This window comes from Homo sapiens, chromosome 10, assembly GCF_000001405.40.
Source record: "Homo sapiens chromosome 10, GRCh38.p14 Primary Assembly".
NCBI lineage: Eukaryota > Metazoa > Chordata > Mammalia > Primates > Hominidae > Homo > Homo sapiens.
In genome coordinates, this window is record NC_000010.11 from 122,851,422 (window position 1) to 122,867,274 (window position 15,853).

At 40.7% G+C, this 15,853-nt stretch overlaps 1 protein-coding gene and 1 long non-coding RNA gene across 4 annotated transcripts in view, besides 2 other annotated features; both read right to left on the reverse strand.

The window, feature by feature from the left end:
- FAM24B-CUZD1 (FAM24B-CUZD1 readthrough) overlaps positions 1-15,853 on the reverse strand; it is a 47,487-nt gene that overhangs the window by 19,267 nt on the left and 12,367 nt on the right. The window contains exon 2 of the long non-coding RNA NR_037915.1: positions 4,224-4,365. This is a non-coding gene — a long non-coding RNA (FAM24B-CUZD1 readthrough). The remainder of the gene's footprint in view (positions 1-4,223; positions 4,366-15,853) is intronic.
- The window catches only part of FAM24B (family with sequence similarity 24 member B), a 30,564-nt gene that overhangs the window by 2,344 nt on the left and 12,367 nt on the right, over positions 1-15,853 (reverse strand). For all 3 annotated transcript variants that reach the window (NR_037911.1, NM_152644.3, NM_001204364.1), the window contains exon 2: positions 4,224-4,365. The gene's annotated coding sequence lies outside the window, so the exon portion shown is untranslated. The remainder of the gene's footprint in view (positions 1-4,223; positions 4,366-15,853) is intronic.
- Positions 3,272-3,566: a silencer, noted in NCBI's record as "tiled region #14360; K562 Repressive non-DNase unmatched - State 15:Elon". NCBI's record gives its function as "represses a minimal TATA promoter and a strong SV40 promoter by Sharpr-MPRA in K562 cells {active_cell/tissue: K562}" and the evidence as "EXISTENCE:reporter gene assay evidence [ECO:0000049][PMID:27701403]".
- Positions 3,272-3,566: an enhancer, noted in NCBI's record as "tiled region #14360; HepG2 Activating non-DNase unmatched - State 23:Low". NCBI's record gives its function as "activates a minimal TATA promoter and a strong SV40 promoter by Sharpr-MPRA in HepG2 cells {active_cell/tissue: HepG2}" and the evidence as "EXISTENCE:reporter gene assay evidence [ECO:0000049][PMID:27701403]".

A 15,853-nucleotide genomic window follows, 5' to 3' on the forward strand; every position in this document is an offset into this window, starting at 1 on the left:
TGGATATCCACAATCTAGTTCCAACTTCTGTGCCAATCAGGACACACGCTGTGTGACATCAACGCTCTGGACACCAGCTCTCTTTCATGGAGTTCTGAATTCCATTCCACTTCCAGATATATTTTAGCACCAATGGAAGTAGATATGCCTAAATACTCTCTTAAGCCATGGAATACTCAATCTCCCCTTTTCAGGCTTTGTTTCCCTCAGAGAAAAGTTTTAGTTAAGAGTCTGATTCCCAGAGATGCTATGTTATATTATTTTAAATGTCCAGTTTTCAAAAAAGCCTATAAGAAAGTATGGCCCATAAAGGAGTGGGGGAGCAATAAATAAAAACTGTTTCTGGAAGAAGCCCAGACATTGGCCCTACTAGAAAATACTTTTAAAGTCTTTTAAATATGTTCAAAGGAATCCATGTCCAAAAAACTAAAGGAAAATATGAGAATAATGTCTCATCATAAAAAATACCAATAAAGATAAAAATTATCAAAATAACCAAATAGAAATTATGTCATTGGAAACTACAATAACTGAAATGAAAAATTCACTAGAAGGGCTTTCATAGCAGATTGGGATTGACAGAAGAATCAGTGAACTTGAAGATAGTTGAGATTATCCAAACTGCAATACAGAAAGAAAAAAAAATGGGTAAAAGTGAACACAGGACTTCTGGTTTCTGCACAAACATGTGAAGGGCTTGGGAGTCATCATTCCCATCCTCACAACAAGTAAAAAGCTGAATAAAGTGGCTGAATAAAAGCTGAATCAACAACTCTTAAGTCAACCAGAAAATTGAAGTCACAGGGCAAACAGCCACCCCCAAAACTAAAGAGAGAGGTGAATACAGAGAATCCCAGCTTAGGAGCAGAAGCCATTGCCAGAGCCAGCAACTGGTAAGAACACTTACATGGTAACTGATGTCTTCCTGGATGATGAATAGGGACTAGCGGAATATTTAAAAACTCCTGAGGGCCCAATTTTGTTTTGTTTTGTTTTGTTGGGTGGGGGCACACATTCATGAGTCATATCTCCAGGAACTCACCAGGTTCTTATAATGAAGACAACAGGAAAATTCCTTTCTGTTTTAGTCTCCACTGACACTGCAGTGGAGGTGGCCTTATTACCACTGCGAGATAATAAAAGTCATGAAATTTCACCAGGCCTCCTCTGATGCCACCCCAGAAGTTAAGTGGAAAGTTGCCCCATTATCTATTGAGTCAGAGAAGAAATCCAGACTCCCCAAGGGGTCTCCACTGATACCACAGGGGTCAGAGGTGAGTCTCTGCTCTTTATTCAGCCTTCTCTGACACCACCCTGGTGGAGGGGTGCTTTGGGACACTTCTTTACAGCTTGGTAACAGTAGACATCTAGGCTCTCTACTCAGTCTTCGCTGGTGGAGTTGGGATAGGGCCATAGCTTTTTCTATGGTGTTTGCCTAGAATGCAGAAGCTATTGTCTAAAAGTTTTCTGTCTTGTTGAGTTGCCCATTTCCTGGTCTTTTGGCCAGAAAAACCAGTTTCTTGGTGGGGCTCTTTTGTCTGAACCCATTGGTGTTTCCAAGTTGCTCACTTCTTCAGCTCCAAGTTTAGGAATCCGAGACAAAAAGCAAAACTTAGGGAACTCACTACCATGCTATTACTTTGATCCCAAGGTCCCTAGCTAGCCTTCCTTCTTCTCTCCACCTATTCAAGTCTTATGTTTGTTTTATATATAATGTCCATGGATTTTAGTTGTACTTAGGAAGAATAAGAAAAAGTATCTCTTCCCATAAGTGGAAGTCCCCTATATGGGAAATTTTTAAATCAGTCCTCTGCTTAAAAGCCACAGCCTCTGCACCAACCCTACACTTGCTCAATCCTGAAAATGAGTGTTTCCTTACATTTTGTACCCTGGGCCCTTCGCATGTGTTATCCAGCCCATATCTCAACATAACATCTTTCCAGCCTCATCTCCCTCTCCATTATCCCACACCCCATGTATTTTCATGCCTGTGACCTGGTTAGATGGCCCTCCCTGTCCCTCGCCTCCTCTATCTGCTGAAACACCAATCCTGCAAGACTTCAATAAAATGCCATGTCCTTATAAAACCTTCACTGATTTCCACCTCTCTCCCTCCCGTGTTAATTGCTCCTCTCCCTATGTATCCATGCCCTTTGTTTGTGCCTATATGGAAATTTGAATTGTTGACTAGGTGTAGTGGTTCATGCCTGTAATCCCAGCACTTTGGAAGGGTAGGGCAAGAGGATTGGATTGAGCTCAGGAGTTTGAGATCAGCCTTGGCAATATGGTGAGACCCCATCTCTACAAAAAATTTTAAAAATGAAAGTGAAAATAAATTAGCCAGGTGTGGTAGCAGATGTCTGTAGTCCCTACTTGGGTTCAGAGGGATATAACCCTAAATAAGCTTAGTCATCATTAAGGAGCTAGGCCCTGTGGACCCTCCCCATGGGGGTGACTACTTCATCTCTCGGTTTCCCTCTATTTCTGTGGTTACCTGATTGCTGTTTGATAGTCTGTGGGCTTGTGCATTTAAAGTTTGCTTTTTCAAGGTGTCTGTGAGCTCTGTGGGGGCAGGAGCTCTGCAACCCTAGGTATCAGAGAACCTAGAACCTATTAGGTGCTGGCACATGTTATGATCAATGACTGAAATCTGAATTTTGTCAGTCTGGTACTCACTTTTTCTGACTGAGCCTCTAAATTTAGACAGTGCAGTGACTCAGACATAGCAGTTAAACCCTGACCAATATTATTTCATTTATTAAAAAGAATGCATACTTTCTACATTGCTTGTAAGTCACCAACATTTAACTACTTCCAATGTGTTTTAGTAATATCTTTCTGAGTTGCAATGAAGGCAACCAGGAGGCAACAACTAAAACCTCTGTTTGAAAGATGAGGAAACTAAAGCTCAGAGAGTGGAAGTGACTCCCTTGGGTCACACAGCAAGTCACTGGCAGCAAAGAAACTAGGACCTAGTTCTATAATCCTTCCCTCCATCTCCTGCTTCCCAAGTCCAATGCTCTTCCACCCCCAGCCTTCCTGAACCTTCTGAAATGATGTGTTGTTCCCCATTCCCAGTCCCCCAACTCTATTATTCAAAGGCCATGATTTTGGCTGTCAGCTGAAAGATCTGCAAATAAATCCCGTTGCATTTCATTTAAGGAAGGGGCTGATTTTTGTGTTGATGTTTTCATTCGAAGCAATATCTCACTGATGATTCACATGTGGTGACTGCTTAAGAGTATTGAGAGGGATGGGGCCATGTGTTCCAGATGGCAAAAGGTAGGCAGCAACTGTGCTCAGAATCAGTGAGTTCAACTTTGCAAAATGCGATTCCCAATACAGGGGCTGGCCTTTTCTCTATGGAAATTCTCTGTAATACACATCCACAAGGACTTTCACCCAAGTCAGTTATTTGCGAACTGCCCATCCTGTGACTAACACCTGTGACTAACCACTAACAAATGGTGCAAACACCCCGATGCCTGCTAAATTGCATCTCTGGTGACAGAAGCATCCTGGATCCAAAACTACATAAGCCTGTGAGCTCCCTACTTGACCCAGTTCCCATCTCTGTGCCTCCTCCACAGCTCCTTCTGCTCCGCTCCCGGGAAACTTATCTTTACCTTCAGACTCTTGGTGCAGATGGGGACCTTGCTATGGCCCTGGCAAATGCCATGAGAAGAGTTGGGTTTTGCCCCAGAGAGAGGATCTCCTTAACTGAATCTTTTATTCTCAGAGAAATAAAGATTGTGGTGAACAATATGCAATCGGATTTTATGAACTGCCAAGGTTTGAAGACAGTTTCTGTGTCTTTGTAAAATCCAAATGGCACATTTTACTATACGTCCCAGAACCAGATTACACCTCTCTTCCCATCTCCGAAATTCCCATCCAGTCTTTCCCTCACCAAACTTTATGACTGTAAAATCAGTTTTAAAAGAACCAAAGAGAAAAAACTGCAAACTTAGTGATGAATTACCATGTTCTACCTTATCAGTGCCTGTCTAGGTGATCCATGCAGATCCCCCGGCGGTGCAGGCACGATGAGGAAGATCACAATCTGCCACGCACTGGGCTCTGGGATTTGCCCTCTAACTCACAGGCTTAACTTCCACAAAATGTGACAAGACTGAGTCTGTCAAATCAACCTCTCATTTCTTGGGAGGCATTCTTCTCATACTCACATGATTCAAGAGAAGTAACAGTTCATCTTATTTTACCTGCATAAATAATGGCTCCTCTGCTCCAGGAAGGGCAAGAAACATTTCAAAAAGAGCTCCAATCATGTGTCAGACATCCCCTTGTCAGGCATCCTCCAGGGTCTTCCAACTGCAGCTTCCCATCTCACCACTTCTAAGGCAACTGGAGAGGGGAAAAGAGAACAGCTCAAGTACTCTCTAGCTCAGGAAAGGGGAGATCATTCAGCTTGTCAGTTTCTTCAGTCTACAGTGCCTCAGACAGAGGGAGAGCTCAGCTAACATGCTGAGTTAAACACCCGATAGTAAACTCAATTATTTAAAGTGACAACAAGGCAGCGCTGACGCACAGAGCCACCAGGCTGAGAACATTTTATTTACAAGCTCACAGCCCCAAAACAGAAGGTAAAAAAGCCAAGAGTGTACATAAACATGCCTTTGCCTTTCAACCTCTCCTGCTGTTCTTGACCTGAACCATATGTGGCTGCCACAGCAAAGAATGCCCCTGCTGAAGCAGAGAGTGTCCAGGTATCCCATTTGAAGGGATGTCCCTCATTGTTAAGTGACTCACATCTTTGCCATGGCACATTACAAGGAGACACAATCAGCACAGGGGCAGCACCCAGGAAGAGACCAAAACCAACTACGATCTCTGTCCCAAGACCAGCAGTCTCACCCAACTTGTGGTGGCTTACTTTGTGAAAAGCCAAATATCATCTATGAGGAGCTAAGCAGACAGTGCCAATTATGTTCCCCGTGTAGCAAACAAGCAACCTGTCCTGCTGTTCTTGACCTGAACCATCTGTGGCTGCTGCAGCAAGGAGTGACCCTGCTGAAGCAGAGTGTCAGTGCGGGGAGTCAGCGGTGCCTGCCTTCAAGGGGCAGCCTGGGGGAGGTCATAAAGCCCTGATTCTGCAGCTCAATCCCAATGAGAACGGCCTTTGACACTGGAACGACCAGACAGCAAAAGCATCTGAATATCTTTCCCACTTCCAGTGTGCTGAGGCCTCAGTCTCAGTCTAGCCATGCTGGGGAGTCTGCAGGGGTCTCTTCTTCTTTCCCTGGGCCTAAATCAGGACTGCAGAGCATCCTCACTGGCCTCAAAGGTTCCTTCTCCAGCCCCCTCTCCCCTGGACAGACCCATTGCATGTTGCAAAGAGATGTAGACAGTGATTACAGATTGATCTTCATTTCACTTGGACTGAGAAAAATCACCCTGGGTTACTGCTGCTTCCCTCAGCCACTATATCCCTCCCTCCACTTCCCACCTTTAAACACCAGTGGCCTCATGATGTCCCTAAGCTGCCAGCCCCCCAGAGCCAGGCCCAGCCCTGCATTTACATTTCATTGGATGGAGACAAACAGAATTTGGTTGTTTGTGATTGTAGGAATGAGGTTCCTATTTCTTGCTGGCTAATGGCCCAAAGCCACTCTCAGCTCCTACAGGCCACCCACTCACAGGCCCTCTCACTCCAAAGCAGTTTACTTCTCCTTCCCAGGCTAGGAGTAAAGCCTCTCTCTGATGCTCCACCCACCTTTAAAAGGGCTCAACTAATAAGGTCAGATCTACCCAGATAATCTCTATTTTGATTAGCTCAAAGTCAGCTGTTTAGTAACCTAGACACAAGAGTGACATTCCATCATATTCGCTGGTCCAGCCTACCCTCTAGGGGATAAGAATATACAGGATATCTGCATGGGGGAGCTGGAATCTTGGGGGTCATCAGAGAACTTTGCCTACCATGAGGTTACTATGTTCCACTTATAAAAGGGAACCATTTTGGTCCAAAACATGAAGCCAACGAGCTTTGCTGCAATTCAATTTTCACTATTCTTTCTTGCTATTACATAAGTCAGTCTTTAAAGCAATAAATATTGAATTGCTGTCTAATCCATTTACACTTCACAACTGGTCATTTCTCTTACTACATTCAAATACGTTTATAAAACTCAAATTATCAATACAACACTGGGAAACTTTACCTCTGCTCCACAAAGGCAGTTTTGCTGTACTTGTGTATTTATGGTACTTATGTATCTGTTTCCTTGTATTTCTCTAGTTTTGTCATTTTCTCCAAAGCACTCATCATTCAAACTTGCCTCCAGTCAAGTTTTGAGGCTTTAATGACAAGAAGAATGTTATAAACTCTTGAGGAAGTACAAACCCTTCAAACTCACATTTCTAGGCCTTAAACTGTCAAACTGAAGCTTTGAAAAGGAACAAAAGAAAACATTATCAGTTTACTTTTATGTCCCCCAAATGGGCTGGAAGTGCGTGTCAGTGCCTGCTGACCACCTGACAACTACTCAGGCACTGGCAAGGCTGGCTCTGAATGCTCTGACGATTCACATGTGGTGACTACTTAAGAGTGTAACTTTCCTCAAGGATCTAGAGCTAGAAATACCATTTGACCCAGCCATCCCATTACTGGGTATATACCCAAAGGATTATAAATCATGCTGCTATAAAGACACATACACACATAGGTTTATTGAGGCACTATTCACAATAGCAAAGACTTGGAACCAACCCAAATGTCCATCAATGATAGACTGGATTAAGAAAATGTGGCACATATACACCATGGAATACTATGCAGCCATAAAAAATGATGAATTCATGTCCTTTGTAGGGACATGGATGAAGCTGGAAACCATCATTCTCAGCAAACTATCGCAAGGACAAAAAACCAAACACCTCATGTTCTCACTCATAGGCGGGAACTGAACGATGAGAACACTTGGACACAGGAAGGGGAACATCACACACCGGGGCCTATCGTTGGGTGAGGGGAGGGGGGAGGGATAGCATTAGGAGATATACCTAATGTAAATGACGAGTTAATGGGTGCAGCACACCAACATGGCACATGTATACATATGTAACAAACCTGCATGTTGTGCATATGTACCCTAGAACTTAAAGTGTAATAATAAAAAAAAAAGAGTGTCACTGTGCCCCTGCGCATCCCTCCCCATACACACCTGTGCCCACAGCAGGAGATCACTCCTCCTGCATTCTTGAATGTGCACCTTCGGGTCCTGAAGCAGGAAAGTTCTAGGAACTGGGGAAAGACCACAGAGAGTGGTTACCCAGGTAGCCCTCACTGTCTGTGGGGCACACAGAGCCTCTGAATCCTTCTAAACATGGTGTCCCAGTACCAGCGAGAAGTACCCCTTGGGCTGGTGCTCCCCAGAGACTACAGAGGGAGCATGCTAAGGCTTCAGGGCACCCCACCCTCCCTGGCAGTTATGCAACAGACTTCTGTGAGCAAAATCTGAACACGGTTCCTCTAGGGATCTGACAATATATTAAATTTCCTTAGGAAAGATGCTTTTTTCTTCTTGCAGACTTCAGGTTTCCATCAGCGGTTCCTCTTCCAGGACTCAGGAAACTAGGCTCCCACAGAATTGCCCATCCTTGGTCTCTCTGCATCTTTTGGATGGAAGTGGACAGCACACATAAGACAAGGCAAGAACTGACTGATTCTACTGGTAAAGACACAGTAATCCACTTCTTGATTCAGATGGTTTAGTACTCAGACACTGAAAGAGAGATTAGCCAAAGGCACCCCAATCCCTGTTCCACACTCCAAATAGGATGACACCAAACAAAACACGTTGGATGACTGCGATGTGAGTTGTGGGATAATCTGTTGCTAAGGAGCCAATTCTATATTGAAGCTAAGTGGTTTAATATTCTAAAGTTGTATTCTGATGGAAGCATGGCAGAAAGCTTTATACCTTATCAGAACAGAGGCAGCCATTACGAACTGACTCATGAGAGCCTCCCAGAGAAGAGAAGATGGTGAGTGAGAGATGGCCTTGTTGCAGCTCCTTACAAGCCTCTCAAATCCTTCTTGATCCTGGAGGATCAAAGGCATTCCACCAAGCCTCAGATTAACTAGGGTTCAGACCTTGTCTTGCATGGCCAGAAAGGTGGAAAGGTGCAAGGTTGCCAGGGTGCAATGGCAGAGCCATTCCCTTACATACTCTTGTACCAACTGTCATAGGTCAGGAACCTAGAAAACAAACTCTGACACAGAGGCTTGTGTACAGGAGGCTCCCTGGGGAGTGTATTCAAAATCCACCCCTGTGAGGGGTGAGGGAAGCAGGACTGAAGGGTCAATGAACTATGAAGCAGCTGCAATAAAAGGTTCCCACCAATTCCCTGGAGAGTTTAAGGCTAGGCTGGCCCTTCCGAGATGCCCCATTGAGGCAGTGTGCTCAGACCTTTATATGCCTATATTGACTAGTCACTGGATGAGGAGTTGTTCAAGGAGGGCCTGTGAAGTTGTTCAAGACAACTGTCTTGAATTCCTGGAGAGCAGTGGCACTGAGAGCCATCAGCTGCCAACACTCCCGGCAGCTTGTATTTTGTCCTGGCACAGCCCCTTCCACCAACATTTTGGTCTGACTTTTTTTTTTTAACTTGCACACAGTAAAGTTCGCTCTTTGTGATGTACAGTAGTATGGGTTTTGACAAATGCACAGAATCAGGTATTTGTCCACAACAATACCATAAAGAACAGTTCCATCACCTTAAAAAGTTCCCTTCTGTGGCCCCTACAGTCAGCTTCTCCCCTATATGCCACCACTTGGCAACCATGGATCAATTTTCCATCCTTTTGTTTTGGGTTTGCAGATTGTCATATAAACTAAATCATATTATACTTAGCCTTTTGGACCTGGCGTTGTGCACTTAAGAAAATGCATTTAATATTTGTATATCGATAGTTTTTTAGGGTGAAGTACTATTCTGTTGTTTGACTGGACCACAGTTTATCCATTCATACATTGAAGGACATGTGGATTTATTTCCAGGTTTTGACAATTATAAAAAAGCTGCTATAATACATCCCATACCAGTTTTTGTGTGAATGTAAGTTTTCAGTTCATTTGGTAAATACCTAAGGGTAGAATTGCTGGGTTGTGTATTCAGTGTATGTCTGACTTTATAAAAAACTGCCAAACTGTTTTACAGAGTGCTTGTATCATTTTTTATTCTCACTAGCAATGAAGTTGAATTCTAGCAGCTATGTTAATTTGTCAGCATTTGATAATGTCAGAGGACTTTTTTGTTTGCTTGCTTGTCATTCTAACACATCTGAAGTGGTATCTGGCTGTTATTATTTGATTTATTACTAATAATTTTGAGCATCTTTTCATATGCTTATTTGCCATCCATATGCTTATTGGTAGATAACTTCCTTGATAAAGTATCTTTTTAGCTCTTTTGCTTATTTCCTGAAATTAGGTATTTACTTTATTATTCAGTTTTTAGAGTTCCTTCTTTATATGCTCTGGATCTAAGCCCTTTATGAAATATGTGATTTGCAAATATTTTCTCCTAGTCTATGGCTTTTCTTTTCATTCTTTTAAGTGTGTCTTCAATAAAGCAAATTTTTAATTAGATAAATTCCAATTTATCCTTTTATTCATTGATTACATTTTTGTTGTCATATCTAAAATGTCATTGCCAAACCCACTGTCATACAGATTTTCTCCTATTTTCTTCTGTATGTTTTATAGTTTTATATTTTACATTTAGGTCTACAATTCATATTGCTTTAGTTTTTGTAAATGAGGTATATGTTGAGGTTCATTTTTTGGTGCACGAACATCCAACTGGTTTACAAAAACTTTGCCTTTGAAAATTTTTCAAAAATCATCTTATTTTTGTGGATCTATTTCTGGGCTCTCCATTCTGTTCCACTGATCTATGTCAAACTGCATTGATCACTGTAGCTTCAAAATAAGTCTTAAAATTAATAGTGTGAGTCCTTAAACTTTGTTATTTTTCAGTTTGTTTTGGCTATTCTAATTCCTTTGCCTCTTTGTATACATTTTAGAATAAACTTGTAGCTATCTACAAAAACTTTCTACATTGAATCTGTAGATCAAATTGGGGAGAATTGACATCTTCATAGTGGATTTTCCTATCCATAAACATGGACTATCGCCATTTATTTAGATATTCTTTGATTAATTTCCATCAATGTTTTATAATACTCAGAATACAGATCCTACCTAAAGTTTATTAGATTTATACCTAAATGCTTCTTTAACTTTTAGTGCTATTGTAAACAGTATTATTTTCAAATTTCAAATTCCAATTGTTCATTGCTGGTACACATGAGCAGTGAATTTTTATATATTGACATCATTGCTGAGCTCACATCCTGAGCCACTGGGACATTCTTTAAAAACTAGTCAGCCATATCATTTTTCCTGCTCTAACAGTACCCACTGACCTTAGGGTAAAATCCAAACTCCTTATCTGACCTACACAGACCTTCATAATCTGACCTACACGGACCTTCATAATCTGACCATTTACCTGCCTCTCTTTTCTGTCACCACCTCCCATCTTGCTTTCTTTCACTGACATTCAAGCCACAATGGCCCTCCTTCCCTTACTGTGCAGACATGCCCAGTTGCTTCCTGCCTCAAGGCCTTAGCCCTTGTCTGTTTCTTTGCCTAACATGCACCAGCCCCTCCCCAAGACATGTCACACCTGAGTGCATTCCTCTTTATGTCTTTGCTAAAATTTCCCCTTCTCAAAATGGCATTCCTTGGCCATATTATTGAACCCCCACCTACAAGACACCCTCTATCTTATCACCTTGTTTAATTAGATTCTAAACAGCAATTATAATTTAATTTTGGTTTATTTACTGTGTGTCTCTCCTATTTAGAATATAAATGCCATGACAACATGGACCGTCTCTCATGTTCATTTCAATGTTCACATTCCCTAGAATAAGACTCAGTAAGTATACACATTTTAGAAATCTGGAGGAGAAAGAAGAGAAAAAAGAAAAGTAAATACATGAAGTTATTAACAGTGATTGTCTATACGTGGTTGGGATTGTGGAATTTTATTATTTTTCTTTTCAGTGTATTTCTTATTTTTCTATAATAAACATGTACTGTTCTTCAAATGAGTTATTTTTAAGGAAAAATAAATGAATAAAAGGCCTTTGTTTTCAGGGACTTTTCAGCCAATAATAAGCAAAATGGTTCCTGCATTATATATGGAGATTATAAAGAATAAGTCAGGTTCATTACAAACTGGGTTTTTTAACACAAATGCAAATAATAATTCTTCTAATATAACAATGTTCCTTCTGCCTTATATTTTCTTTGCTCTTTTAAGGACTATACACAAAGACATCATAACTACTTTTCTCTCCAGGTGTCCAAATGGGAGAAACCAATTGCTGATGGTATTTAGCTAAATGACTGTGTAAGAATCACCTGTGGAAGGTATATTCCCACTCACTGTGTGGCCAACTCTTCTTAGTACCAAGTGCAGTCTCTATCAAGCAAATCAAGCAGAAGGGCCAGCTTGGGAGGGGACAGGCTAAAGGAAACCCATGAAGCATTGAATCTGAGCTCAATTTCAATGAGAACCATTCCTGAACAGTGGAAAGACCAGAGACATCAGAACCATCTTTCCCACTTCCATTAAGCCAAGGCATTTGGTCTTATCACCAGGACATGTAGCTTTTTGGCCATGTTGAAGAATCTCTGTGGAAAGAATTCAGCTGCTCCTACCTACAGGTAACAGTAACATCCACAATCACAAAGTAATAGCTGATATTACACTGATTGATGACTTCATGCCTGGCACTAGCTCTTAGATATTTCATTCTCTTAAGAGACCCTATGAGGTAGGTAATACTATTATCATCCCCATTTTCTTAATGGAGGCAATAACAAATGGGAAAACATGGACATATGGAGGTTAGGAATTTGTCCAAGGCCATACAGCTAGCAGGGAAAAGGGCCAGGAATTGAACTCAGCAAATCTGGTTCCAGAGGCAGGCTATAAACCTCAAGACTAGTGGCTAGCAAACTGTATGTGCATTCAAATCAGCTACAGAGCTTTCAAAAGTCTTTTTAGAACAGTTTTCTATTTATTTTTAAATTGAGTAGATAGGACAGAATTCCCATATGTCCCTCTCCCCTGCTCACATACACTGTTATTTTATTTTATTCAATCTGTCCTGTTTAGTTCTGTTTAATTCCTTAGTGAATACTTCATTTACACTGATTCACTGAAGTAACAACCTCAAAACTTCATTACCATCCATAGGCGTAGCCTCAGATGATGTTGCCAGGGCTCTTTACCAACATCTCCTGACTGTTTTTCCATTTTCAGGCTGGCCCCCTCCACATACTGGGCCAGTGTCGGCTACAAGCCCACATCCTTAAGATCTATGATCTAAAAAGGAGAGAGATAATGTCCTTTTCCAGCAGGCACAAATCCTACAAAAGGACTTTGGTCTTCCCTGGATCACCTGCCCTTGAATTGTACCAGTCCCTGTGGAAAAAGGGACAAGGGCCCATGATCTTGTTCAGGTCAGGGTCACATGCACTGTCACTGATAACTCCTGCCACAATCACAATGGATAAGTGGTGAAGCTCATCCCAAAACAACACATGAAAAACATGTGTTGTTTCAGAGCAAACTGAAACAACACATGTTCACTGTATAAAGCAAGAGTGAAAAACATGAAGTTGTTGAAAAAATTTAGCATTACAGTAATTTTATTCTGACCATTTAATACAAGAAAGCCAAATAGGAATTCAAGTTTTCACCTTTATTTTTGGCATTGATGAATAATGAAGAACCTTAGCTTCTTCATACTTCCACAGTTACTGGAGTTAAAACAATCAGGTATTACATATTTCACTTGCTTTTTTAAAAGTTCTCCTAAAAAGCTGTGAGAATTCTACACCAGCATGGGTCACTGTTGCATAATATCACTGAGGTCTGTTGCGTGTACTACTTTTCACAAGCAAAGGAAAAATGATGGATTTTTTGAGTAACTTTTGTATACATATTTAGGTACTACACTTTTACTAATAAAAGTAACTTTGACAAGAAAAAACATCTTGTATTACTGTGGTGCATTTGTTACAATTAATGGGACAATATTAATATATTAACTAAGTTCGGTAATTTATATTCAGTTTTCTCACTCTGTGTGTACAGTCCTATAGGTCTGGACAAATGCACATATCCACCATTATAGTATCACATGCAGATTAATTTTGCCCCCAAAATCCCATGCTTCACTTATTCAACATTACCCTTCTCCTTTCCCCCTGCCAGACCCTGGCAACCATTCTTTTAATTGTCCCTGTAGTGTTGCCTTATCCAGAATGTCACATAGTTGGAACCATATAGTATGTAGCCTTTTAAGGCTAACTGGTTTCAACTGGCAATGTACACTTAAGGTTTCTCCATGTCATTTTGTTACTTGCTAGCTCATTTATTTTTATCACGGAATAATATTCCATTATATGAAAATACCAGTTTCTTTAGTTACCTACTGAAGGACATCTTAGTTGCTTCCAGCTTTTGCCAATTATGAATAAAGCCACTATAAAAATTCATATGCAGGTTTTTGTGTACCCATAGATTTTCAGCTCAGCTGGATAAATAACTAGGAGTCCAACTGCTGAGTCATTATGTACCATTTAAAATTCCAACCAGCAGTGAATAAGAATTCCTGGTGCTGTGCATACCCACCAGCATCATTTGGATTGTCAGGTTTTGTTTTTTTATTTTAGCCATTCTAATACATACTTGTTAAGTATGATGTTAGCTGTAGGTTGTTTGTACATGTTCTTTATTAACCTGAAGAAGTTTCCATCTATTTCTAGTTTGCTGAATTTTTTTTATGATGAAGGGGTGTTGAATTTTCTCAAATCCTCTTTTCTGCATCTATTGATATGATTTTTATTCTTTTATTCTTTATGTGATAGGTTACACTAATTGGTTTTCAATATTCAACCAGAAACATACTAGAATACCTTACACACCTGGAGTAACTCCCACTTGGTGTTGATATATAATACTTTTTCTACTTGTTGGATTCTGTTTGATATTTTGTTGAGGATTTTTGCATCTGTGTTCATGAGAGGTATTGGTCTGTATGTTTCCATTCTCCTAATGATTTTATTTTGCTTTGGTGTTAGGGTAATGCTGGCCTCATATAATGAATTAGGAAGTGTTTCTGTGCTTCTATTTTCTGGATAAAACTGCATAAAATTTGTATTATTTTTGCCACAAATGTTTGGGAAAATTCACAAGTGAACTCATCTGGTCCTGGTGCTTTATTTTTTTGGAAGAGTAATTATTAATTTTTTTTTTTACTAGATATAGGCCTATTTAGATTATCTATTTCTCCTTTCTAAGTTTGGGTACATTGTATCTTTCAGGAAATTGATCCATTTCATCTGTTATCAAATTCGGAGACAGCTGTTTGTATTATTCTTTTTTTTTTTTTTGAGATGGAGTCTCTGTTGCCCAGCTGGAGTGCAGTGGTGCAATCTTGGCTCACTGCAACCTCTGCCTCCCGGGTTCAAGCGATTCTCCTGCCCTAGCCTCCCGAGTAGCTGGAACTACAGGTGCATGCCACCACACCTCGTTAGTTTTTTATTTTTAGTAGAGATGGGGTTTCACCATGTTGGCCAGGCTGGTCTCTAACTCCTGACCTCAGGTCACCTGCCCAGCTCAGCCTCCCAAAGTGCTGATATTACAGGCATGAGCCACTGCACCCGACCTCCTTTTTTATCCTTTTAATGCCTGTGGAATCAATACTAATGGTCCTGCTTTCATTTCTAATATTAATAATTTGTGTCTTTTTTAGTCTGACCAGAGGCCTATCAACTTTATCTATCTTTTCAAAGAACCAGCTTTTGATTTCATTGGTTTTTTCTTTGTCAATTTCATTGATTTTTGCTGATTTTTATTACGTCTTCTCTTCTGCTTGTTTTAGGTATACAGGCATACCTTGTTTTACTGTGCTTCACTGTACTGTGCCTCATAGATACCGCATTTTTTGCAAACTGAAGATTTCTGGCAACCCTGTATTAAGAAGGTCTATCAGTGCCATTTTTCCAACAGCATGTGCTTACTTGTGTCTCTGCTGTCACATTTTGGTAATTCTTACAATATTTCAAACTTTTGCTTTATTATTATATATGTTATGGTGATCTGTGATCAGCAATCTTTGATGTTACTATTGCCATTGTTTTGGTCCACCATGAATCATGACCCTATAACATGGCAGACTTAATCAACAAATTGTGTTCTGAGTACTCCACTGACTGCCATTCCCTCATCTCTCTCCCTATTCTCAGGCCTCCCTATTCCCTGAGACACAAAAATATCGAAATGATAACAATTAATACCCCTACAATGGTCTCTAAGTGTTCAAATGAAAGGAAGAGTCATGTACGTCATATTTTAAATCAAAAGCTAGAAATGATTAAGCTTAGTGAGTAAGGCATGTTGAAAACCCAGATAGGCTGACAACTAGGCCTCTTGCATGAAACAGTTACCAAGTTGGAATGCAAATGAAAAGTTCTCAAAGGAAATTAAAAGTGCTACTCCAGTGAACACACAGATAAGGATACAAAATAGCTTTATTGCTGATATGAATAAAGTTTTAGTGGTCTGGATAGAAAATCAAACCAGCCACAACATTCCCTCAAGCCAAAACCTAATCCAGAGCAATGCCCTAACTCTCTTCAATTCTGTGAAAGCTAAGAAAGGTAAGGAAGCTGCATAAGAACAGATTGAAGGTGGCAGCCAGGCTGGGGGAGGGACGCCCACCATTGCTCAGGCTTAAGTA